The 25,559-nt window shown below is 43.5% G+C and overlaps 1 protein-coding gene across 10 annotated transcripts, besides 7 other annotated features; it reads left to right on the top strand.

Moving 5' to 3' along the window:
• Positions 770-1,284: an enhancer, noted in NCBI's record as "H3K4me1 hESC enhancer chr10:126108167-126108681 (GRCh37/hg19 assembly coordinates)". NCBI's record gives its function as "activates a minimal SCP1, AML or CMV promoter by ChIP-STARR-seq in primed H9 embryonic stem cells {active_cell/tissue: H9 hESC(primed)}" and the evidence as "EXISTENCE:reporter gene assay evidence [ECO:0000049][PMID:30033119]".
• Positions 1,258-1,917: a silencer, noted in NCBI's record as "fragment chr10:126107534-126108193 (GRCh37/hg19 assembly coordinates)". NCBI's record gives its function as "represses an EF-1alpha promoter that drives an FKBP-Casp9 reporter gene in an ReSE screen in HepG2 liver carcinoma cells {active_cell/tissue: HepG2}" and the evidence as "EXISTENCE:reporter gene assay evidence [ECO:0000049][PMID:32094911]".
• Positions 1,258-2,399: a biological region, named in NCBI's record as "ReSE screen-validated silencer GRCh37_chr10:126107534-126108193".
• Positions 1,860-2,399: a silencer, noted in NCBI's record as "silent region_2909". NCBI's record gives its function as "represses an Ori minimal core promoter by ATAC-STARR-seq in GM12878 lymphoblastoid cells {active_cell/tissue: GM12878}" and the evidence as "EXISTENCE:reporter gene assay evidence [ECO:0000049][PMID:35858748]".
• On the top strand, positions 1,959-23,579 carry OAT (ornithine aminotransferase). Of its 10 annotated transcripts, none has more exons than NM_001322968.2 (12): positions 1,959-2,009; positions 5,810-5,929; positions 6,450-6,536; positions 8,682-8,909; positions 11,917-12,141; positions 12,245-12,340; positions 15,319-15,446; positions 16,962-17,084; positions 17,827-17,955; positions 19,043-19,156; positions 19,898-20,042; positions 22,780-23,579. In NM_001322968.2, the coding sequence occupies exons 4-12, from the start codon at positions 8,711-8,713 to the stop codon at positions 22,938-22,940; spliced, it is 1,320 nt and encodes a 439-aa protein (NP_001309897.1). In that variant the 5' UTR covers positions 1,959-2,009; positions 5,810-5,929; positions 6,450-6,536; positions 8,682-8,710; the 3' UTR covers positions 22,941-23,579. The 10 variants fall into 10 exon arrangements, with proteins under 10 accessions (NP_001309897.1, NP_001309899.1, NP_001309898.1 ...); NM_001322970.2 differs by having other exon boundaries at positions 6,450-6,632; NM_001322969.2 differs by lacking the exon at positions 5,810-5,929.
• Positions 16,879-17,422: an enhancer, noted in NCBI's record as "NANOG hESC enhancer chr10:126092029-126092572 (GRCh37/hg19 assembly coordinates)". NCBI's record gives its function as "activates a minimal SCP1, AML or CMV promoter by ChIP-STARR-seq in naive H9 embryonic stem cells {active_cell/tissue: H9 hESC(naive)}" and the evidence as "EXISTENCE:reporter gene assay evidence [ECO:0000049][PMID:30033119]".
• Positions 17,048-17,342: an enhancer, noted in NCBI's record as "tiled region #15365; K562 Activating DNase unmatched - State 25:Art". NCBI's record gives its function as "activates a minimal TATA promoter and a strong SV40 promoter by Sharpr-MPRA in K562 cells {active_cell/tissue: K562}" and the evidence as "EXISTENCE:reporter gene assay evidence [ECO:0000049][PMID:27701403]".
• Positions 17,048-17,342: a silencer, noted in NCBI's record as "tiled region #15365; HepG2 Repressive DNase unmatched - State 12:CtcfO". NCBI's record gives its function as "represses a minimal TATA promoter and a strong SV40 promoter by Sharpr-MPRA in HepG2 cells {active_cell/tissue: HepG2}" and the evidence as "EXISTENCE:reporter gene assay evidence [ECO:0000049][PMID:27701403]".

The raw sequence follows: 25,559 nt of genomic DNA, 5'->3' as shown, positions 1-25,559 counted from the left end.
AGAGCTGGGCATGGCCCCACATACCTGCCCAGGTTTATAGAGCAGGACCATGGAGAAACCATTCCTTTCTGACCCCTTGGGCAGAATAACCTAACTTCCAGGAAGTTAATCACATTGTATTGGGTGCTGTGGAGGAACATGAAAGAAATAAAAGGCAATGTTCTGCTCTCAGTGAGTTCTGGAGAGCCCATGGCCACAACAGTCTGAGAGAGTGACCTTGGTATAGGGCAGATGGAGCCCAGGGGGACTGAATCCCTTTTGGTGTCTTGCTCTGCACATCTGCAGATACTGGCTCTGCTGTTCACAGCTCTGCACCCATATCACTTTCTTATCCCTACCATTTAGCATGGACTTTACTTTCTGCTTAGCTAAGACTTATCTTAGCCAGTTATGTATGTTGGATGTCTTCCAATTGCTCCCCTACCCCGTCTCCACCCTTTTCCACCCTGCTGTTTGTCCCAGGAGGCTGAGCTGTCTTAAAGGGCTCCCCTGGCCTCTGGCCTCCTAATGGCTTCAGCCCATGTGGAAGCCTGACAGGAGATGCTCATTGTCCAGCTCCTTCCCATGCAGTTGCTGATGACTTTGGTGACCAGATAGCCTTTCCCACACTCCTCTCTTTGGGTTCTGGAATTCTGGAAACCCCACTTGGAGGCCGTTGGGCCTAGGATGGATAATGGCCCTCGCTGGTGCATGAGACCCAGGTTATTTCTCCATCCCTTGTGGTTTACTTGCCTACATTGATTGATTGATTGGTTGATTAAGATAGATGGTCTTGCTTTGTTGCCCAGGCTGGAGTGCAGTGGTGCAGTCATAGGTCACTGCAGCCTCAACCTCCTGGGCTCAAGTGATCCTCCCACCTCAGCCTTTGGAGTAGCTGGGAACATAGGTGTGCCACCACACCAGATTAATTTTTATTTTTTTTTGTGGAGACGGGGTCTCACTGTGTCGCCCAGGCTGGTCTGGAACTCCTGGGATCAAGCAATCCTCCTGCCTCGGTCTGCCAAAGTGCTGGGATTACAGGCATGAACCACGGGCCCCCACCACCACGTTTTAGGAAATGTTCACATTGGAGTGTGCCCTCTGTTTCCAGCTGGGCCCCCGACTGGTCATTGTGGTCTAATGGAGTGTGGTGCCGGCAGCTGCCAGCGCCTGCCCTCTGAGAGGGGTGGCGAGGGGCACACAGGACCAGACTGCCCCTACTGTTGGATGACTGGGTAAGTCGCTTTCCTTCTCTGGGTCTCTGTTTTCCAATATTTAACATCTTGTTGTGGGCTAAGTGAAGTCCAAGTCCCTTCCGATTCTAACATGAGGTTGTCCCGGAATATCTATTTTGTGTTCTGAATTTAATAACCGGCTGTGGAGGGCACCACAGGCAAATCTGTACTGTGAGTGGGTTGCTGCCACTCAATTATCTGACAGCAGCTGCGAACAGGTGGGCAGTGTGTTTTCCATAGGCAGCGACGACTTTTGGAGGTGGATTCAGAGGCACAACTAAGCCGCGCGGCGCATCAGGGTTCAAGGGCATGGGGCTCCCGCAGCTGTGGCTGGGGCAGAGCTGGGGCTGGTCCCTCCCTCCAGGAGCACAGGGCGGGCGGTCCAGCCTCACGTCTCTCGGCCTCCAGCCACACCCGGCCCGCGCAGTGGGGGGCCCAACAGACTTTTCCTTTTCGGGCCTCAGTCTTCTCGTCAGCAAGGGCGGACAAGGACTCTTCTCGTCCCGCCAGAGGAGGCGACCGAGGGGCCTGAGCTCAGGTACAGGCCGGCGGGCTCAGGAGGCGCGAGCGCGGATCGAATCCGCGGGAGGAGCAAAGATCCTTGATGCGCGGCCGGAGGGCGGGGCGGAGGACGGGACCCACGCGATTGGTATCCTGCCCTCCGCCCCAGCCAATGAGCGGCGAGGGTGTCTTGGGGGCGGGGCAGAATCAGCCTTTAAGTTGCAGTGACTCTCCGGCGTCACTGTTGCGCTTCATAGACGCCGCGTGTACCCGGTTGTCCTCAGGCGCTGTCAGGTACCGTCTGGGCGCCGCTGTCCTGGGGCTCTGGTTCGGGCCCTGGCCGGGGTTCCCTGACAGCGGCGGGGGAGGCGGGCGGGCGCGGGGTGGCCGCGGCCCGGGTTCGGGGGATGCTGGCTGAGGGGGCGCGCTGGGCCTCGGCCGGGGAACGAGCCCCGCTTCAGCGGCCCGTTTACTCTGCGGGCGGCTCGGACCCGGGCGCCCTGGAGTCTCCGGCCGGCGCGCAGCTTCAGGGGGCAGGGGCGTGGCGACCCACGGCTTGCAGGCCGGAGTCCTGGTTCCAGCCCAGAGCGGCCGACGGGCGGGCGGCAGGGAGAGGCTGAGGATGTGGCAGCCCCGCCTGCCAGACCGGGCGGAGCCGCCGCCCCCTGCGCTCGCGGCCTGTGGAGGCCAGGACTCGGCCCACCCGGCCCAGAGACCCCGAGGCGCCCCGGGGTTCCGGGTAGGAGGCCTTTGGGCACCCTTGGTTCCTGGGGTTGGCGGGGAGGCTGCGTTCTGGGGACGGGGGAGCTGTGCAGTAAACCGGTGGCCCTGGTCACGCGGCGGGGGCGCTGATGCAGCCTTGGAGGGCTGGGTCCTCCCGGCCTGCTCCTGCGCCCTGCAGATCGGCCTGCCCATCGCTCCCCTCTTCCAGCCTATGATTTTTTTTCTCCAGCCTCTGTCGAAATAAAGAAAATTACGGAAGCAGAACCTTCCTTACAGTAACGTGCAGGTTAATTAGATGGTGGGGGATGGGGGGGCAACAGGACTTTCAGCATGAAAACCTCCCGTTGGGGGCTTTTTGCAAACCCTGCTGAGCATCAGTAAATGGGCCTGGCCAGTGCGTTTCCTCGATCGCCTTCCCGGGCGGGACGGGAGGGGTCATTGTCCGCCCTTTGCTGGCGAGAGGACTGAGGCCCGAAGTCACCTGGGCACTCGCCCTGTGACCCACCGTCTCCTTTTGTCACTCTACATCTTACCTTTTCGGTGTTCAGTTTTACCTCTTAGATAAATTACGGTGATAAATTAAGGGCGAACAGACAGTGACTTTGGAATGAAGTGGCTTTACCTTAAGAAATGACTAATGTTCAGTTTCCAAATTCTAAATTTCTCCTTCTGGGATTGAAAGGGTTTCTGTGGATAAGCTAGTTCTTTCAGTTAACCCCGGAACTGTTCTTTAGATTGTAATCAATCGCTCTTAGCCATGTGAAATAACAATAGACTCCTTTCATTAGAATATCCTGGTTCTGTCTTTAGATGAATCTTTTCATAAAAACGAGCGTTAAATTAAAAAGCTTATTTTTAGCCCGGCACGGTGGCTCACACCTGTGTAATCCCAGTATTATGGGAGGCCCAGGCAGGCGGATCACCTGAGGCCAGGAGTTTGAGACTAGCCTGGCCAACATGGTGAAACCCTTTCTCTACTAAAAATACAAAAATTAGCCAGACATCGTGGTGCGCGCCTGTAATCCCAGCTACTCGGGAGGCTGAGGCAGGAGAATTGCTTGAACCCGGGAGGCAGAGCTTGCAGTGAGTTGAGATCGTGCCACTGCACTCCAGCCTGGGCGACAGACTCCGTCTCGAAAAAAAAAAAAAAAAAAAAAAAAGCTTATAGTTTTGGGTTTACAGTTTTTCATGGTGTTTAAGATTAGTTTTGCATCCCCCCCCCAAAGAAAAATCCAGTATAACTTTAAATAGTAAACATTTTTAAAAGACATTTTTCCCTCAAAGCAGCTGTCTTAATATGTATTATCCCCATAGCGTGCCTTTATTACAGTTATTTGTGTGCATATTTTATGCCCTTTAGTGAGTTCTTGAGGACCTTTCAAATCTCAAACATTTACAAATAGTGATGAATGCACGAATTTGGATGTGTGTGGAGGATGTGCTGTAGTTGACCCCGGTCCTTTCTCAGTAGTAAAACTAGTTGTTTGCCAATGATGCACTTGGCTTGAATTTTAGCCAGAATACTGATTACGTCAAAGAGACTTCTGTTGGTAGAACTTTTTTTTTTTTTTTTTTTTAAAGGCCTGTATTTGTGAATGGTTACCTCAGGAAAAGTAAATATTTGTCAAAATAGCAAGAACAAATTTACTCCTCAAGTTGAATATTTTAAGTGGCTTTTGGACAACTTTACGCCGACTATTCTTTTAGAGTAAGAAAATAGTTTTTAAGAGTATAGGCTAAATTAACTTCAAAATGCAGCCTTTTGTGGAAATTCTACTGTAGGTATGTTCTAATGTAGATGGATGGGCTAGATGGAGGGAGTAATGGTAGCCTGAAGGACCCTGTTAATTACGTGGATAAAACCTTCAGTGTTAGAATTCTAGCTTGCCAAGAGCAATTTGTTCTCATTTCCAGGACCTGAGTATGGGCGTCAGGTAGATGCATGATAGCTGCCTGGAACACATTATTTTGACCTTTGAAGGCCATTAGATCTAATGAAGTAAACTCTTGATGAAGAGATGAGTTATTCTAGATGAGGTCAGAGAGTGAACACCCCCTCTTAGAGTTAGACTCAACCTGGTCAGGGATAGGTGATCCCATGGTCTTGATCACTTGCTACCTTGACTCCCTCAGGAGTCCTAAGTAAGACTGACCTCTTTATCTGATAAAGGCCCACAGGATGCCCAACCTGGGCTAGGTTCTAGGAATGCAAAGTGAATTTTACTGTTTTTTAAAGGAGCTTAGAGTATAGACTTATAGGCATAAAAACAAGTGGCCTGCAGTGTTAGGACCCGTTACAAGTCTGCACAGTCCCTGGGAGTCTCTAGGAGGGACTTAAATAGTAAATTCTATAGGGGAGGGTGAAAAAAAGCTAATATGGATGCTAATTATGCATAGAAAAAATAACCAAATGTTAATGGTTATCATGCAAGTGTAAAATTGCTGGTAATTTTCTTGTCTGTGTTTTCTAATTTTTTATCAACTGAAAAATGGTGTGTGTGTGTCTTTTTAAACAGTTTTAAAAATAAATCATGGCACTGTTGATTCTGATATTTCAGAAACTGGCTAGTTTTAAGGGCAAAAGGGAACTGAGTGGCCATTTTGTGCTGGATTTGGCACAGTAACATTAACCCATTTCATCCTCAGTGACACTTCAACCTCCTTTTACAAATGGGGAGACTGAAGCTCAGAAAGATTGACAGAATCACCCAGAGTTACTCTTCAGAACCACAGACAGAATTTAAAATCCCGGTCTCCAAACTCGGGATTTTCCGCTTGATTCTCCCGGTTTTGAAACCTTTTTGGAAGAGGCTGTTATTGATGTTGGCTATTTTTAAGTCCATCTTAATTCTGCTCTAAGATTTCTCATACAGTGCCAAGCACAGTAACTTGAACACAGAAGGTTCTTTAATAGAAATGCGTTTACAGGATTTTGATACATCATGGCTCATCCAGTTTCTGACCTTTCCCAGTTGAATTAAATATCCAGAATTCATCTTAAAAACCTTAAGAATAGCTGACTCAGGGGTGTGTGCCTGTAGTCCCACCTCTTCCTGAGGCTGAGGCAGAAGGATCCCTTGAGCCCAGGTGTTCGAGGCCAACCTGGGCAACATAGCTGAGACTCCATCTGTAAGTGAAAAGAAACAAAAACCTTAAGAATGAGTATTAGTAATGTTTTGAATGATATTATTTTGTCCCCAGTTATTCTTTAATAAAACTGCCTAAACTTAACAGGTAAATGAATTTTTCATCCCATTTCTGTTGGAAATTAGCTGTGCAGATAACTTTTATATAAAATAAGAATGTTGAATTTAGATAATCTCTGATATTCCTTTTTTTTTTTTTTTTTTTTTTTTTTTTTTTTTTTTTAGCGCTTTGTAGCCCAGGCTGGAGTGCTGGTGGCACAGATCGTGGCTCACTGCAGCCCAGAACTCAGGGCTCAAGAGATCTTTCCACCTTAGTCTTAGTCTCCTAAGTACCAGATACTACAGGTACGCATCGCCACACCTGGCTAATATTCATATTTTTTATAGAGATGGGGTCTCCCTATGTTGCCCAGGTTGATCTTTAACTCCTGGGCTCAAGTGATCTGCCTTGGCCTCCCAAAGCGCTGGGATTATAGGCGTGAGCCACCTTGCCTGGCCCTAGAAAGTTGTTACGGTTTAGAGCACCACTAAGTATTGCCTGAGTGTTTTACTGCTAATTTGATAGGCAAAAATTAATGTTCTAATTTTTTAGTTGATCAAACAATTTATTCATACTGAGTAAAGCATAAAGAGTCCAAGAAAGAAATCATACATGAGTGTTTTAGACTTAGCAGTAGTATTTTGGGGAAGTTACATATAGTACAGTTAGACATTTTTGCTAGCAGCTACCTCCAGTTGGATGATTCTTACATCACTTTTGTTTTGATTGTTGGTACCCACCCCTTTGAGATAAAGTCTGATGAAAGTTATGGACCTTCTTCTTGGAAAAATATACGTCTGCATGTAATTCTGCATTTTATTTCAGGAGATTTTGGACTCTCTGCAGACTGTCCCTGGATCTTGGGTTAAAAATCTGTATTCTAGACTGAACCGTGGGAAGAAAAAATAGTCAGTGAGTCTTTGGCAAACCGGAGTACTGGATTTTGTTTAGCAATTGCAAATTCCTGAACATACTGGATTTACTGGGTAGTGCCAAGTTTAAAGGGAAGTAAGCCAAACTCCAAGTATTATGTTTTGCTAATTTGGCAGCTCGAATCAAGAGTGGCTGTGAGATTATACATGGTTTGACTTGTCATTGGTAGACTTCTGTTGAAACATGAATTAACTAGTCTTTTAGAAAGTAAGTATAGATGGAATAAGTATGCCTAGTTTTTGGCAACTTTCTCCTAATCATGAATTTATCTTTAAGCTTTTTTTTTTTTTTTCCTTCCAGAGGTGATTCCTATGCACATGCTCTAATTTCCTTTTAATTATTAGTTTCTTTCATAGCTTAGTTTTTACTTCATGGCTTATCAGGATGCTTAATGGTAAATTGGGTACAAAGAGGTGTGTGAAGCCTTGTGGAGGGGCTAGTTTTAGGGCTGGGGGTGACTGGGGAGAGTAGCTATGGCTCTGACTTATGTGATGGGGCGGCAGGGTAAACACCAGCCTGCTCAGTGATGTTTAGACTTTAACACTCATACAAGTAACGGATTGTAGTTTGTAGTTTGACTCTCTCTAGTTTCTCAGTTACCTTTTGCTAACAATAGCTTTTTCGTTTGTTTGTTTGTTTTTTGAGACGGAGTTTCACTCTTGTTGCTCAGGCTGGAGTGCAATGCGCAGTCTTGGCTCACTGCAGCCTCGTCCTCCCAAGTTCAAGCGATTCTCCTGCCTTAGCCTCCTGAGTCGCTGGGATTACAGGCATGCACCACCACGCCTGGCTAATTTTGTATTTTCAGTAGAGACGGGGTTTCTCCATGTTGGTCAGGCTGGTCTCGAACTCCCGATTCAGGTGATCGCCTGCCTCTGCCACCCAAAGTGCTGGGATTATAGGCATGAGTCACCGCACCTGGTCAACAATATCTTTTATGCTACAATTTTTCAGGATAAGTTTTGTAGAAACAACCATCCTAGCAGAATAGATTGTTTTGTTTGGGAATCTCATATATGTGTGTGTGTGTGTGTGTGTGTGTGTGTGTGTGTGTGTGTGTATGTATTTATGTATGTATGTATATGTTGGTCTAATTCAACTTGCTGTGAACACTTTAAAGCTATTATAAGTTAACATTTTTTTCCTAGTCTTTTTGCCTTTCACCTTTGTTTATGATAAATTTGACCTACAGAAGTTTTAGATATTTGTGGCTAAATAAAAGATTTTAGGCTGGGCACAGTGGCTCACACCTTTAATTCGAAAACTTTGGGAGGCCGTGGTGGGCGGACTGCTTGAGCCCAGAGGGATGGACAGTTCCTCTGTCTCCTGCCCCATGCCTAGTCTCTGGCAGTCTTCTCTGATTTGGTCTCCCTGCCTCTGGTCTCTGCCCTACAGTTGTAGCTGTCTCATAGCATTGTGCCTGATGGTATCGGACTGTGGTAGGTGCTTAACAAATACTTAGTGTTTAGCAGGTACTCAGTCAACACACAGTGCATTAGCTCTGGAAAGAGTCTTACTCTTATTGATTGGTTGGTTGATTGATTGCCTGATTGACAGGGTATCACTCTGTTGCCCAGGCTGGCCTCAAACTCTTGGGCTCAAGTGATCCTCCCGCCTCAGCCTCCTGAGCAGCTGGGGGCTACAGGCACAAACCACCACACCTGACTCAAGATTCTCACTCTTTTTTTTTCTTTTATAGAGACTATGTTGCCTAGGCTGGTCTTTAACTCCTCGGCTCAAGCGATCCTCCCATCTTGGCCTCCCAAGGTGCTGGAATTACAGATGTGAGCTATCACGCCTGGCCATTTTTTTTTTCTTGAGACTGGGCCTTTCTTTGTCTCCCAGGTTGGAGTACAGTGGCACAATCTCAGCTCACTGCAGCCTCAACTTCCGGGCTCAAGCAATCCTCCCACCTCAGTCTCCTGAGTAGCTGGGACTGCAGATGCATACCACTACACCCAGCTAATTTTTCAATTTTTTTTAGTGATGGAGTCTTGCTCTGTTGCCCAGGCTGGTCTCAAACTCCTGGGCTCACGTGATCCTTTGACCTCAGCCTCCCAAAGTGCTGAGATTATAGGCATAAGCCAAGGATTCTCACTCTTAATGCATTCTCTTTTCTTTGGACAGATCTGTGGTTTTTCTACTTGAAGGACACAATGTTTTCCAAACTAGCACATTTGCAGAGGTTTGCTGTACTTAGTCGCGGAGTTCATTCTTCAGTGGCTTCTGCTACATCTGTTGCAACTAAAAAAACAGTCCAAGGCCCTCCAACCTCTGATGACATTTTTGAAAGGGAATATAAGTATGGTGCACACAACTACCATCCTTTACCTGTAGCCCTGGAGAGAGGAAAAGGTACGTTTCAAATTAATCCGTCTTTTCCCTTTTCTTGAAACCTTTTATAAAAAAAAATTGCTTCCATATTTTCACAATATACATTTTTCTAGATGTGTTTAATGTGTATATTGCAGACATGGTTAATTCTTCTTCTTCTTTTTTTTTTTTTTTTTTTGAGACGGAGTCTCACTCTGTCACCCAGGCTGGAGTACAGTGGCACAATCCCAGCTCACTGCAACCTCTGCCTCCCAGGTTCAAGCGATTCTTCTGCCTCAGCCTCCTGAGTAGCTGGGACTACAGGCGTGCGCCACCACACCCAGCTAATTTTTGTATTTTTAGTAGAGATGGGGTTTCACCATGTTGGCCAGGCTGGTCTCAGACTCCTGACTTTGTGATCCTCCCACCTTGGCCTCCCAAAGTGCTGGGATTACAGGTGTGAGCCACCACGCCTGGCCAGTTAATTCATTTATTGAGTGTCTAGTGCTGCTGTGTTAGGTGCTATGGAGGCTTCAAAGAGGAACCATTGTCTTTGTCATGTAGACCTTACCAAGAGGGAATGCAAGAGAAATAAGGAAAGTACTATCATATTGCTGTCATTTTTTTCTTTTAACTTTTATTTTGGCATAGTTTTAGACTTAAGAAAAGTTGTAACAAATAGTACTGACATTTTCCTTTTATACTTCTCCCAGATTTTCCAAGTGCTAACTTTTTGCTGCTTTGGTCTTAGTGTGTTCACTCCCTTCTCTTCTCCCCCCGCCGCCTGCATATTCTACATTGTTTTCTGAACTGTTTTGAGAGGAAGTTGCAGACATGACATCTCTTCTTCTTTTTTTTTTTTTTTTTTTTTTTTTGAGACGGAATGTCGCTTTGTCACCCAGGCTGGAGTGCAATGGTGGGATCTCGGCTCACTGCAACCTCTACCTCTCGGTTTCAAGTGATTCTCTTGCCTCAGCCTCCCGAGGAGCTGGGACTACAGGCCCACGCCACCACGTCCAGCTAATTTTTGTATTTTTAGTAGAGACAGGGTTTCATCATGTTGGCCGGGCTGGTCTCGAACTCCTGACCTCAGGTGATCCACCCACCTCAGCCTCCCAAAGTGCTGGATTACAGGCGTGAGCCACCGCGCCCCGCCACATGACATCTCTTTACCCATAAATACTTAGTGTGTCTTTCCAAAAACGCAATGACTTTTTGAGATAGGGTCTCATTCTGTTGCCCAGGCTGGAGTTCAGTGGTGTGATCATGGCTCACTGCAGCCTGGAACTCCCGGCTTCAGGTGATTTTCCCACCTCAGCTTCCCAAGTAGCTGGGACTACAGGTGTGCCTTACCATGCCTGGCTTATTTTTTGTAGAGATTAGATTTTGCTATGTTGCCCAGGGTGATCTTGAACTCCTGGTCTCAAGTGATCCTACCACTCAGCCTCCCACAGTGCTGGGATTGCAGGTGTGAGCTACTGTGCCCAGCTGACTTTCTCTTTTATAACCATAGAGTAATTGTAAAAATCAAGAACTTAACACTGGTACAGCACCATTAGTCTAGAGACCTAATCCAGATGTCATTTGTTCTCTTTTATAACAAAAGAAAAACCTCCGATGAGTTGCATTCAGTTGTCATGTTTAGTCTTCTTTAACCCAGAACAGTTCCTCAATCCTTGGTTGTCTTGGTCTTCTTTCCCTTTGTATTAAGTATCTTGTGGGGACAGAGTGTAAAACTCTGTAAATATCCAGTTACTCATGAACTTTTACTCACAATTTCAGCATCCACTAATGATTCTTGCCTGAATAAATGATTACGGTGGTAGTTGCCAAATGGTGATTTAATCTACAATTTGGAATAAATAACAGCCTTAACCAAATAAAACCAAAGTTTATTACTTAGCTTTGTACCAGAAAATGACAATATAAGAGTATCACACATTTTGGTCATTTGCTTGTATTTTATTTGGTACCAGTACTGTAGACATATCTTCTTTTGAACTATTGAAAATCTGTTTCATATTACATGACATGGCAACCTTGTTTTTACTTTCCCACTAGCAATGTATGAGAGTGCCAATTTCTTCAGATCCTTGTCAAAAGTTGTTTTTTTAATTATAACCATCCCAGGGAGTATGAGATGGTATCTCATTGTGGTTTTAACTTGCATTTTCCTAATGATTAGTGATGTTGAACATCTTTTCATGTGTTTCTTGCCATTTGTATATCTTCTTTGAAGAAATAGCTATTCAAGTCTTTCCCCATTTTTTAAATTGGGTTGTTTGTCCTTTTGAAATTGAGTTGTAAGAATTCTGGATATTAGATCCTTATCAGACACATGATTTACAAATATTTTTTTTCCATCCTAAGGGTTATTACAGTCTACTTCTCATGATTTTTGTCTGTTATGTGTAACTTCTGCTTTTTTATTTTTAAATTTTATTTATTTTATTTTTTTTTTTTATAGGCAGGATTTTGCTCTGGTGCCCAGGCTGGAGTGCAGTGGCACAATCTCAACTCACTGCATCCTCTACCTCCCAGGCTCAAGCAATCCTCCCACCTCAGCCTCTGTAACGGGACCATACGCGCGCACTACCATGCCCAGCATTTTTCTGTAGCGTCAGGGATTTTGCCGTGTTGTCCAGGCTGATCTGGAACTCCTGGGCTCAAGCAATCCCTGCCTTGGTCTCCCAAAGTGCTAGGATTACAGGCGTGAGCCACGGCTCCCTGCCTAACTTCTGCTTTTAAATTCTAATTTTGGATCCTAAATCTTAGAATTAGGTAAAGGTTTTACTCCAGAGTTTATAACCTTTTTGTGTTATTTTTGTTAAATGTGTGTTTTGAAGCTGGGCAGATAAAATACAATTCTTAGTAATTCCTTACAAACCAAAGTTTATTATGCCTGAGCTAAAACAAGCTTTAACTACAAATATGTATTAAATAGAGGTTCATATATAGGCATTCAGAGGGCTTGCTAGCACTCTTAATTTTTGGACTTTATGCCGTATAGTAATTGTCTAAAATTATTTTCCTTTCTTATGTATTTTAGGTATTTACTTATGGGATGTAGAAGGCAGAAAATATTTTGACTTCCTGAGTTCTTACAGTGCTGTCAACCAAGGGCATTGTCACCCCAAGATTGTGAATGCTCTGAAGAGTCAAGTGGACAAATTGACCTTAACATCTAGAGCTTTCTATAATAACGTACTTGGTGAATATGAGGAGTATATTACTAAACTTTTCAACTACCACAAAGTTCTTCCTATGAATACAGGTAAAACATTTCCTTTTTTTGTTAAATACCCTCAAAAATAATCTTTTTATTTTTTGATAGTTTAACATTTTAAAAAAATCTGAACATTTTTCTCTCCTGATAGGAGTGGAGGCTGGAGAGACTGCCTGTAAACTAGCTCGTAAGTGGGGCTATACCGTGAAGGGCATTCAGAAATACAAAGCAAAGATTGTTTTTGCAGGTATGTGAAATTAAATATTAACTTCTATGATTGAAACATACAATATAATTTACTGTGGCCAGGCATGGTGGCTCATGCCTGTAATCCTAGCATTTTGGGAGGCCAAGGCAGGAGGAGTCTTTGAGCCCTGGAGTTCAAGACCAGCCTTCTGGGCAACATAGGGAGACCCTGTCTCTATTTAAAAAAAAAAAAAAAAAATATATATATATATATATATATATATACACACACACACACACACACACACACACACACACTTATATATTTTATATATAAAAAACATATATATATGTGTAAATTTACTGTTTTAATTTGCTGATGAAATACTTGTAATATGTTTTGCCTGGTACATGATACGTATTTGCTGAATGTTTCATAAAAATTTATGAGGGATTTCCTCTTCTTGGGATTATTTCTTCATATATGAGATTTTTCTTTCTGAACTCCATATTCCTCTCATTTGCCTGTCAGATTTTTTTCATAGCAGTTATCCAGTTAATTAGATAGTCTCACTGGTGGAGGGTTTGTGTTGGGTGCTGGGGTTGGGTGAAGTTAGTGTGGGGCCATGGCCTACATAGACTGTGGTTTGAATCTTGATATTGGAGGTCCTGTTGTGCCATGTTCCACTTAGAAGCTGTTGAAAAGAGGAGGCTTGGAGTTGCCCTTGTTAGGTTTCTGGGACTGGATGAAAGGAATAACTTGAATTTTGGTTAGGGAGACTAGCAATTAGTTGAGAAGATGTAGTTTGACTGTTGGGTTCTTTATATGATATTCAAATGAGAGGTTCTGACTTGTTTTTTAAGCTTTATTTTTTTAAAAAACAAGTATGTGTACATTTGTCACTATAATGGTCAAAGTTCATTCTTGTGATAGTTGAAATCATTAAATATTCTGCCTTGTGAACACATGCAGTTAAATGATAAACCCCATAACATAATAGAATCCAGAGTTCAACCGAAGGCCAGAGGTGATTGGTATTTGAGGGGACAGATTGGTATTCCCAAAGAAGAAATCTTAGCAAAACTCTGTAACTTGCCATTTAAAAATCTTGTGCTTTCGTTGTAGGACAACATAACTGTCTCTTGCAAACAAAAATGGTGTTTCTGGTGATTTTCATTCTTATAGACTGTGTCCAGTCTCTTTCTTAATAGCAAAGGGTGCAAAGATGTTTTCACCTGAGTATTGAAAGAAGCTGGTGAGTCAGTGGGGTGGAGAGACAGAGGAAGACTGTCCCTAACTGTAAGTCCCTTATACCTGCAGGGTAAGTGACTGAGGATGAGGTTCCTGAGGCTAGGCAGGGGAGAGCAAATAGGCTTATGGTCTAATCAGTGCATTTCTTCTTAAACAAACCTAGTCAAAATCAATGTGCTATTTTTTGTGGACAAGTGAAAGAAGAGATTACTTGTGGGTAAGGGATGCTGGTGAAAGAGGCTTTGCAAGAATAGTATTTAGAAACGAGATGAAGCCAAAATACGATAATCCAGCACTGATTAATGGAGTTGCTGCTGGCAGAAGTGGTGAGAAGATAAAAACATGATGTCACAAACTCCCAACCTCTCTGTTATTTTACATGGTGTCTTTCCTTCTTGAATGTCATCCTCTCTGAAATTATCTAGCTCACTTGCTTTACTGGTTTATGTCAGGTGTTTTCTCCCTGCTAGAAAGGAAGCTCCCTGAGGATAGGGATCTTGCCAGTTGTGATCATGATCTATTTCCCAACTTTTTTTTTTTTTTTTTTTGAGACAGAGTTTCACTCTTGTCACCTAGTCTGCAGTCTGGCTCACTGTAACCTCTGCCTCCAGGGTTCAAGTGATTCTCCTGCCTCAGCCTCCTGTGTAGCTGGGATTACAGGCGCCCACCACCACGCCCAGCTAATTTTTGTATTTTTAGTAGAGACAGGGTTTTGCCATGTTAACCAGGCTGGTCTTGAACTCCTGACCTCATGTGTTCTGCCTGCCTCGGCCTCCCAAAGTGCTGGGATTGCAGGCGTGAGCCACTGCACCCGGCTTCCCCAACATCTTTATTATTATTATTATTATTATTTTTATTTTTTGAGACAGTCTTGCTCTGTCACCCAGGCCGGAATGCAGTGGTGCGATCTCAGCTCACAGCAACCTCTGCTTCCTGGGTTCAAGCGATTCTTGTGTCTTAGCCTGCTGAGTAGCTGGGACTACAGGTGTGCACTACCATGCCTGGCTAATTTTTGTATTTTTAGTAGAGATGGGGTTTCACCATGTTGGCCAGGCTGGTCTTGAACTCCTGACCTCAGGCGATCTGCCCACCTTGGCCTCCCAAAGTGCAGGGATTACATAAGTGAGCCACTGTGCCTGGTCTATTCCCCAACATCTAAAACAATGCCTGACATAGTAGATCCTCAGTCACCTTTATTAATGGATAAAAAATATTCCAGCAGAAAGGGAGACGTCTGTCATTTAGCATCATAAAGGATTATAATATCAAGGAAGGTAAAATGGAAACGTGTTTGGATTGCTTGAGGATCTTTTCTCCAAATGAAATTGGAAATGCATTCTGTTGTTAGCCTGCAGTATTGGAGTTTTGAAAGGAAAACCGCTAATTGTCTATGAAGGATATTCTTTCTCATATCACTATCATAAATGCACCTTCTCTAGAAAACATGCATTCAAGACCTCAATTGTTAGGGCTTGGTTTTGGGTTGGGGATTATTGAAAGAAAAGTAAGTTATCTATCTTCAGGGGCTATATATTCCAGTCAAGAGGCTCAGTAGAGAGAAATGCCTAAAATAGGAATTACAAGGCCAGACTTAGTGGCCTTGTGTCATAGGAGCCATGGTGTTTAATATCAGACTTTGTTTTAACAATTGAAAGCCCACCGAAGGTGCACTAAAGCAAGCCCTTGATTTATTTTTTGAGTCAAACTTCTTGTGGTGTTTTGCGGGGATAGTGCTTATTGAATTTTGGGTTTCTTTGAAATAATCACTGTTTGTTTCCCCTTTGTAGCTGGGAACTTCTGGGGTAGGACGTTGTCTGCTATCTCCAGTTCCACAGACCCAACCAGTTACGATGGTTTTGGACCATTTATGCCGGGATTCGACATCATTCCCTATAATGATCTGCCCGCACTGGAGGTATTTCACTAGCATCATAGTGCTCAGCTCATTGGGAATAGAAATTAAAGCTGTTGAATATATGAATTAAAAGTACATTATATGACAGTAATGCAAATTTATCTCACTTAAGTTAAGCCACGATTTCAGACTTGTTCTCAGTAGCGATCAATTAGTTTCCAACACAGAGAAAGCTGAGTTCTGTGATCTACTCTGTACAGCCAGCCAACTACTTTAGATGTGTGTCCTTCATAACAGTTAACTTCGGTATACCTGCTTACTTACTAGGTAAAATTTCTGTTTTTAGCTAGCTTTTTAAAATTATGAAGTGGAAGACTTTTTAAGAAAGCCTTAAGTTGGCTTTAAAAGGCTATTTACTTTAGATTTAATTTAAGTAATTAATTTCTTTTTTTGAGACAGAGTCTCACTCTGTCACCTAGGCTGGAGCGCAGTGGCACAATCTCGTCTCACTGCAAACTCCGCTTCCTGGGTTCAAGTGATCCTCCTGCCTCAGCCTCCCAAGTAGCTGGAACCACAGGCACACACCACCACACCCAACTAACTTTTCTATTTTCTTTAGAGACATGGTTTCGCCACGTTGGCCAGGCTGGTCTCGAACACTTGACCTCAAGTGATCTGCCCACCTTGGCCTCCCAAGGTGCTGGGGTGACAGGCATGAGCCACTGTGCCCAGCCAGATTTAATTTAGGTACATTTGTGTATTAGAAAACAGGCTGGGCATGGTGGTACATGCCTGTAATCCCAGTGCTTTGGGAGGCCAGGGCTGGAGGAGCACTTTGTGTTCAGGAGTTCAAGACCAGCCTGGGCAGCATAGGGAGAGCCTGTCTCTACAAAAAAATTTAAAAATCAAGGTCAGGCGCGGTGACTCACGCCTGTAATCGCAGCACTTTGGGAGGCCGAGGCAGGCAGATTGCTTGAGGTCAGGAGTCGAGACCAGCCTGGCCAACAGTGAAACCAGAGACAGTGGTGAAACCCTGTCTCTACTAAAAATACAAAAAAAAATTAGCTGGGCGTGGTGCTGTGCGCCTGTAATCCCAGCTACTTGGGAGGCTGAGGCAGGAGAATTGCTGGAACCCAGGAGGCAGAGGCTGCAGTAAGCCAAGATCGTGCCACTGCACTCCAGCCTGGGTGACAGAGTGAGACTCCATCTCCAAAAAAAAAAAAATGAAAATAAATAAAAAATTAGCTGGGCATGGTGCGCAGCTACTTGGCAGGCTGAGGCAGGAGGATCACCTTGAGCCCAGGAGTTCGAGACTTTAGTGGGCCATGTTTGTGCTGCTATACTCCAGCCTGGGCAACAGAATGAGGCAAAAAAGGAAATGTAGGCTAGTGTAACTTAAAGGTGAGGTATTTGGAGCTTCTGATAATTGAATGGCAGTGAATTTGAAGTCAGAATTTACGTTAGTGCGAAAACTTGATTTGCATACTTAATGTAAAATATGTGTGGTATATGCTTTCAGATTTCCAAGTGTGGTAGAAAGGAAGTTATTAAAACTTATTCCTGTTTCTTCTGTAGCGTGCTCTTCAGGATCCAAATGTGGCTGCGTTCATGGTAGAACCAATTCAGGGTGAAGCAGGCGTTGTTGTTCCGGATCCAGGTTACCTAATGGGAGTGCGAGAGCTCTGCACCAGGCACCAGGTTGTCACGTTAGCTGTTTGTGATAAGGCTGAATGTCGAGTTAGCTGTTTGTGATGAGGCTGAATGGGCTCCTCCCCAACTCCTCTCTGAATTCTGCTGATTGGATAAATGCAAAGATTAAATTACTTTCCACTAGAGGGCGATGGCATTCTAAGAGCTTAAGTACTTCCTAGTGCTTAGAAACCTGCACAGAAGCAGACTTTTTCCTGTCTCTGGCCTTGTCCTGGGCCCTGTGCAGAACTGCAGACCTGGTCTTAACAGCGTTTCCTTCCTCGCTGCTCTAAGAGCCTTTCACTCTGAGCCCCCGCAAGCCCTTTGTTGTATTCTCTCCTCCTTTCCCCCAGGGCTAATAGTAGTATATTTTGTTTACCATTTGAGAGTTTCTGTCACATATTAAATGCTTGTGGAATAAACAAATGAATTAATTTGTTCCCAGAGGGTAGTTAGGTCCAGAAAAGCCATACAAAACCCTCACCTTTGCATCAGCACCTTTTCACTATGTAGAGCAGGGCAGAATGGGCCTCTAGGGAGATAGTGGCCTGACAAAGGAAATAGTTGGTGAGTCTACAAGATTCTTATAGGATACTCTTGAAATTGTGTGCAGTTAAAACATTTTTACAAATTTGAGGGCACATCAGAATTACACATTTATTGTTGGTGGGGGGACAGTGAAATAAGGATGGCTATTTTCCCTGTGGAAACGAAAGTGATCACTAATAGGGGTATTTTTTTTCCCCAATAGGTTCTCTTTATTGCTGATGAAATACAGACAGGATTGGCCAGAACTGGTAGATGGCTGGCTGTTGATTATGAAAATGTCAGACCTGATATAGTCCTCCTTGGAAAGGCCCTTTCTGGGGGCTTATACCCTGTAAGTTTCATGTTCCCCCTCTTTCCATTTCCTACTCTTGTAAAATATACCCCTAAAGTATTTATACATCAACTGATTGTGACAACAATGCTTTCAGATTGTTTGATTTTACCAAGTGTGCTGCAGGCCACCCGGAATATCTGTAATAAAAACATTTAAGGGACCAGTGTGTGACCCACTTACTTATTGCCTGAAGAATTGAGTGTGCCTTGGAATTTGCTATGACATTGGATTTGGGTGGAAACAGTTTACCCCCAAAGGACTCCTGTAGACTCCTGTCCTTTTTTCCAGTGTTCAGAAACATGGCATATTACTAATTGTTTAAAACCATGACTGGTGAACAAAGAGACTGAGAAAAATTAATGTTTGTTGTAGTTCATGTCTTGGGTTTGCCTTTCAGAGCCAGTAATTGTTACTACATCAGAGGTCTCTGAAGTATAGATGTTTTTGCTGAATAGACAAAACTTTTGCTAAAAAGAATGCTCAGCTTTGTTTTTTAAGCATTTAAACAAAGCATTTCATCTCGACGTTGGAAGTGATTGTGAAATTATATCATTGCAGAAATAGCTTTTCTCTTTTAGTTGCAAAATTATATTGTTTTGTGCCATTGAAGTGTACCTAAAGTATTTGTAATGTTTTAGGGTATGACTAAGTCATTAGGTTGTTACTGGTAGTTAGGTTGGCAGATGTAAACTCTTTCGTTGAAGTCATTAAGTATCAGTTTCTTGGCCGGGTGTGGTGGCTTATGCCTGCAATCCCAGCACTTTGGGAGGCCGAGGCAGGCAGATCACCTGAGGTCATGAGTTCGAGACCAGCCTGGCCAACATGGTGAAACTATATCTCTACTAAAACTACAAAATAAATAAATAAATAAATAACATGTGTGGTGTGGTGGTGGGCACCTGTAATCCTAGCTACTTGGGAGGCTGAGGCAGGAGAATTGCTTGAGTCCAGGAGGCAGAGATTGCAGTGAGCTGAGATCACGCCACTGCACTCAAGCCTGGGTGACAGCGAGACTCTGGGGAAAAGGATGCTTAGTAGAATGCTTAGTGCTGAGAAATGACATGGTGAATTGACTGTCTTTCAGGTGTCTGCAGTGCTGTGTGATGATGACATCATGCTGACCATTAAGCCAGGGGAGCATGGGTCCACATACGGTGGCAATCCACTAGGCTGCCGAGTGGCCATCGCAGCCCTTGAGGTAAAGACTGATACAGCCACACAGTGTCTATTCTTTAAAGCAATGTTGAAGTGATTTTTAATTTGGGCCCACTGGTATAATAAAAAATTCAATAAGAATGCCAAATATTAGAAAACATGAAGTATAGAGGAAAAATTTTAGGAACAAGATATTCTCAAAAAGTAATTTAAACTTGGCCTAGTAGACTGGATTTCCTCCGTGGGCTTCCTGAGTTCACAGTCACCTGGCGCTTTGAGTTCTTCGGCCCTGGCTGGCCCTCATAGAACTCTCAACTGTGACCCACCTACCAGACCCGTCTTTTTGCTTAGCAAGCAAGTCTTCTTTCAAGTGTGGATTTATAATGTTTTCAGACTGATTTTTTAAGTGCCTGCTGAAGGTATACAATTATTATGTAATCTCTGAGGACAGATCTTTGTGAGGGGGGAAGAAACTATTGCAGTTTAGGAATTACATTTCGTCCATTGATGTATTCAATTAATGACAGTATGTGAGTTGCATTAAATAAACTTTAATCCTTATTTTGCCATGAATGATTGGCAATAGATTTGTGATGAAAGCAAGACTCTGAGCTAGTGTATGTTTAATTAGAAACTAATACAGGCTTTGAAAAATAGCAATGAAAGTTAAGTTCCTCTGGTATTTTATCTAGTCATGTTTTTCCTGTGTTTACAGTCCCCGTTGTCCTCCAAAAAACAAAAAAAGGACAGTCTTAATATTTGTATAATTTTTCTTTAAACGTAGGTTTTAGAAGAAGAAAACCTTGCTGAAAATGCAGACAAATTGGGCATTATCTTGAGAAATGAACTCATGAAGCTACCTTCTGATGTTGTAACTGCCGTAAGAGGAAAAGGATTATTAAACGCTATTGTCATTAAAGAAACCAAAGGTATGGAGATAAAACATTTACTCAAGATAATTTTTTAAGGAAGACCTAAAATACACTTGGTATTTAATTTAATTAATTTATTTATTTTTCGAGACGGAGTCTTGCTCTGTCTCCTAGGCTGCAGTGCCGTGGCGCAATCTTGGCTCACTGCACTCTGCCTCCTGGGTTCAAGCAATTCTCTGCCTCAGCCTCCTGAGTAGCTGGGATTACAGGCGCCTGTCACCACGCCCAGCTAATCTTTATATTTTTAATAGAGATGGGGTTTCATAATGTTGGCCAGGCTGATCTCAAACTCCTGACCTCGTGATCCACCTGCGTTGGCCTCCCAAAGTGTTGGGATTATAGGCGTGAGCCCACCGCGCCCGGCCACACTTTTTTTTTTTTTTTTTTTTTAAGATGGAGTCTTGCTCTGTTGCCAGGCTGGAGTGCAATGGCGCCATTTTGGCTGACTGCAACTTCCGATGCCCCGGTTCAAGCGATTCTCCTGCCTCAGCCTCCCGAGTAGCTGGTATTACAGGCACGTGCCAACACGCCCAGCTAATTTTTGTATTTTTGGTAGAGATGGGGTTTCACCATGTTGGCCAGGGTGGTCTCGATCTCCTGACCTCGTGATCCGCCTGCCTCAGCCTCTGAAAGTGCTGAGATGACAGGCATGAGCCACTGCTCCTGGCCACACTTGGTATTTTAATTGGGTGTTGGGATGTTCTGTTTGAAACTGCTGACTGACATAATGACCAAACCTTTTAGACAGATTATTGTCTGATTTATAATTATATTAAGAGTATAAAAAATATAGCTCTTTTCTAAATGAAGGCACATTTAACCAATTTGACCCTTGTTCCTTTAAGACACTTATTTTTCTGCCTTAAATTAGTCATGCAGTATTTAGAGAGTTCAAGTTTTTTTGTTGGTGAGTCTGGACTTGAAAGTGTCCTCTTTGCTATCCTTCCCTCCCTCACTTTGATGCTTTGTGTCAGTAGAGGTTATAGGAGCAGCAGAAATAATGATATGAATGACAGTTATGGGGTCAATAATAAAAATAATGCTGGCTGTCACTTAATTGGGTGTTTGATGTTTTAGTACATCCTTTGTAACCCTTAGGTGTTCCTTGCTGGATTTTCTTGTGATAACTCTTCCTTTTAAAGCAACGATTCCAACCTCCCAACCTTGGCTGCACTTAAAGAATCACCTGAGGGGCCGGGCGCGGTGTCTTATGCCTGTAATCCCAGCACTTTGGGAGGCCGAGACGGGTGGATCACGAGGTTAGGAGATCGAGACCATCCTGGCTAACACAGTGAAACCCCATCTCTACTAAAAATACAAAAAAATAGCCAGGCGAGGTGGTGGGTGCCTGTAGTCCCAGCTACTCAGGAGGCTGAGGCAGGAGAATCGCTTGAACCTGGGAGGTGGAGCTTGCAGTGAGCTGAGATTGCGCCGCTGCACTCCAGCCTGGGCGGCAGAGTGAGACTCCGTCTCAAAAAAAAAAAAAAAAAAAAAAAAAGAATCACCTGGGGAGCTTCTTAAAAAAATGAGTCAAAGCCTGGCCTTACCCCAGGGATTCTGATTTGACGGATCTGGGACGGGGCACAGGCATTAGCAATAGCCTTTAAGGTGATTCTGATGTGCAGCCAGGTTGAGAATCGCTGCTATAATATGTTGAGCTCAGGAAGCGAGTCCCTTTTTGGAATGTGTAGTGTTCACTGGGTTTTGAGTATTGCCCATTTTATGTCAGTTAATCATCTGTATCATACCCAAGTTCTTTTTTTTCTTTTTTAGAATTTTATTTATTTTATTTATTTTATTTTTTGAGACAGTGCCTTGCTCTGTTGGGCTGGAGTGTCTGTCGCCAGGCTGGAGTACAGTGGCATGATCTTGGCTCACTGCGACCTCCACTTCCTGGGTTCAAGCGATTCTCCTGCCTCAGCCTCCTGAGTAGCTGGGACTACAGGCATGTGCCACACCACGACAGGCTAATTTTTGTATTTTTATTAGAGATGGGGTTTCACCATGTTGGCCAGGATGGTCTCGATCTCTTGACCTCATGATCTGCCCACCTCGGCCTCCCAAAGTGCTGGGATTACAGGTGTGAGCCACTGCATCCAGCCTATACCCAAGTTCTTTTGCATTAGTTCCTTGTGTGATTAATACAGCAGCCTTAGCACATTTTTTTTTTTTTTTTTGGCTTGGTCTTTTTCATTTATGAAAAACTATGATATGTCTAATCATATCATTCAAACCTAGTTATGTGCTTGCTGAAAAGTGAAGAGTAACTTCATTTTTAGGAGTAAAAACAAAGCAAGCTTGCAGCTCCAAGCTTCCCTTTCTTTTTTTTTTGAGACGGTGTCTTGCTCTGTCACCAGGCTGGAGTGCAGTGGCGCGATCTCCGCTCACTGCAGCCTCCGCCTCCTGGTTCAAGCGATTCTCCTGCCTCAGTCTCCCGAGTAGCTGGGACTACAGGTGCGCACCATGATGCCCAGCTAATTTTTGTATTTTTAGTAGAGACGGGTTTCATAATGTTGGCCAGGATGGTTTCAATCTCTTGACCTCGTGATCCACCCACCTCGGCCTCCCAAAGTGCTGGGATTACAGGCATAAGCCACCGCTCCCAGCCCAAGCTTCCCTTAGTTGAGCAAGTTCTGTTAATTTTGTTTTGCCAGGCTGCACTTTGCCCATACATACGGCAAGGGATGTTTAAACGTTTATCTTTGAGCATGTACGTTTTACTATTTTTCTTTAGATTGGGATGCTTGGAAGGTGTGTCTACGACTTCGAGATAATGGACTTCTGGCCAAGCCAACCCATGGCGACATTATCAGGTTTGCGCCTCCGCTGGTGATCAAGGAGGATGAGCTTCGAGAGTCCATTGAAATTATTAACAAGACCATCTTGTCTTTCTGAGGGTAGCCAGCTGTTTTCAGTGGTCCCTGGGAGCCAGCTGGAGACAGGTGGTCCTGTAAAAGCTTTATTCCTAATGTGGGCACATTCCACTCCCATGAGTCTTCAAAAACTTTTTTTTTGAATATATTTTTTTCAGTTGATACATAATAGAACAACGTTTATGAACCTGCCGTTTGCTTTGTAACGTAACTAAATAATGTAATGGCATCTATATTCAGTTGAAGTGTTTTGATGTGCATGTGTACTTCCTAAGGTGAAATGCATCTATATACAGACAGCCTCTAAATCAAGTCCTTCAGTATAATTGATATATGTTTTTATAATTTCCTCACTGGTATAAGTGTTTCATATTTGAAAAAGTTATCTCTGGGTATTGCATAAAAGGCTTCATCTTATAAAGTGAAATCATTGTTATTGAATTTTAGGAAGGATTAATGGTTAAGTGTATATAAAATACTAATATTAAGTAAACTTCATATTGGCCAACACCAGGGTTGTATTCTATGGATGTCATTATTTTGAATTAAGAATTAGTGTTTAACATTCCTAAATTGTTTTGAGTGCTTGATTATAATTTGTAAAAAATGTTTATTTTCAATACTTCTTTAAATTTAAAATAAAGCTTATATTTCAAATGTCTGTTTTGTGATGATTATTCACCTTAAAAGGAAGAAGCTGAGGCAAAATTAATATAGAATGTTTAGGTGGGCCAAGGTTGGGGACTGCAGCTCGGGACACACTTCCAGGTTGCCCTGGAGAGTGCTCCAGAGAACACTTCTTAAAGAAAAAAGGATAGATCAGCTGCTCTTATACCCTCTACTGACACAAGGTGAAGGGGTGATTACAAAAGTTGTTTATCAGGAATTCTCATTGGCTTACAGAACTAACCTTGGTTAGTGATTGGCTATATGCTGTTGAACTACAGGGTATATGGCATTTGATAGATACTTGGCTTCAAGAGGTAATTATGTAGCTTGGGAGAGAGTGACCTGACTATGATTTCATTCTATTGCCTCTCTGGGCCTGATAATTTAGTTTTTATTTTTTGAGATGGAGTCTCTCTCTGTCGCCCAGGCTGCAGTGCAGTGGCACGATCTCAGCTCACTGCAACCTCCACCTCCTGGGCTCACATGATTCTCCTGTCTCGGCCTCCCGAATAGCTGGGATTACAGGTGTGCACCACCACACCCAGCTAATTTTAGTATTTTTAGTAAAGATAGGGTTTCATTAAGTTGACCAGGCTGGTCTTGAACTTCTGGCCTCAGGCGATCCCCCCAACTTGGCCTCCTAAAGTGCTGGGATTACAGGCATCAGCCCCTGTGCCTGGCCTGGGCCTGATAATTTAAAGGGGCTCACGTTCTTCAGTTACAAGATTTCTTTATTCCCCATGTCACTATGCTATTACTGCAGTGTTATCAGTTACATTTTTTTTTTTTTTTGAGATGGAGTCTTGCTCTGTTGCCCAGGCTGGAGTGCAGTGGCGCAATCTCGGCTCACTGCAAGCTCCGTGTCCTGTGTTCACGCCATTCTCCTGCCTCAGCCTCCCCAGTAGCTAGGACTATAGATGCCCGCCACCACGCCCGGCTAATTTTTTGTATTTTTAGTAGAGATGGGGTTTCACTGTGTTAGCCAGGATGGTCTTGATCTCCTGACTTTGTGATCCACCTGCCTCGGCCTCCCAAAGTGCTGGGATTACAGGCGTGAGCCACTGCGCCCAGCCTATCAGTTACATTTTTAAGCTTTTTGAGATTTATTTATTCCATGTGTTTTCTTTTTTTTGTATTCCTTTTTTTTTTTTGAGACAGAGTCTTGCTCTGTTGCCTAGGCTGGAATGCAATGGCGTGATCTCAGCTCACTGCAACCTCCGCCTCCCAGGTTCAAATGATTCTTGTGCCTCAGCCTCCCAAGTAGCTGGGACAATAGGCCTACACCACCATGCCCAGCTAATTTTTGTATTTTTAGTACAGATGGGGTTTCACCATGTTGGTCAGGCTGGTCTCGAACTCCTGACCTCAGGTGATCCACCCACCTCGGCCTCCTAAAGTGCTGGGATTACAGGTATGAGCCACTGTGCCCGGCATATTCCATGTGTTTTCTAACAGCATTTCAACTCTGATCTACAGAAAACTAGAAGTTATAAAAAGAATACATCTAAAAGATAGGTCTCATACTTCCCTTTCAAAGTAGCGCGTTCTCTGTGCATATACTAATATTTATCATTTTTTTAAAGTTATCCTTTTTATATGTGGTGTTCTGCAACTTTTTCTTTTTTCTTTCTTTCTTTTTTTTTTTTTTTACCTGAACAGAGTATTTTGGATGTTTTTCCGTCTTATTCTCAAATAATTAGTATTTCATCATATATGGGTATACTGTAATTTCATCTCATATTGGGACCATTTGACTTGAATAAAACTTGTGACCACTTCATATCTTTTCACAATGGTGCAAAAGTGCACAGTGTTTCTATGGAGTAAATCCCTAGAAGTGACTTGCTTTTCAAAGAAAAAAAACTCAAGTTAATTGTGTCACATTGCTCCCTGCCTCCCCCAGGTTCTAAAAAGTTACCTCTTAGCAGTATGAGAGTTGAGTCTTTGGTACTCTGTCAGGGTAGTGCTCTGT

Source organism: Homo sapiens, chromosome 10 (assembly GCF_000001405.40).
Source record: "Homo sapiens chromosome 10, GRCh38.p14 Primary Assembly".
Classification (NCBI taxonomy): Eukaryota; Metazoa; Chordata; class Mammalia; order Primates; family Hominidae; genus Homo; species Homo sapiens.
Note: the sequence above shows the minus strand (reverse complement) of the source record. Positions and strands in the feature narration are given on the sequence as shown.

Bases quoted from the DNA above. Each gene is read 5' to 3' on its own strand.
- OAT (NM_001322965.2), top strand. From the start codon at position 8,711: ATGTTTTCCAAACTAGCACATTTGCAGAGGTTTGCTGTACTTAGTCGC. The intron at 12,341-15,318 runs GTATGTGAAATT...TCCCCTTTGTAG, and splicing joins AGCAAAGATTGTTTTTGCAG to CTGGGAACTTCTGGGGTAGG. The intron at 20,043-22,779 runs GTATGGAGATAA...ATTTTTCTTTAG, and splicing joins TGTCATTAAAGAAACCAAAG to ATTGGGATGCTTGGAAGGTG.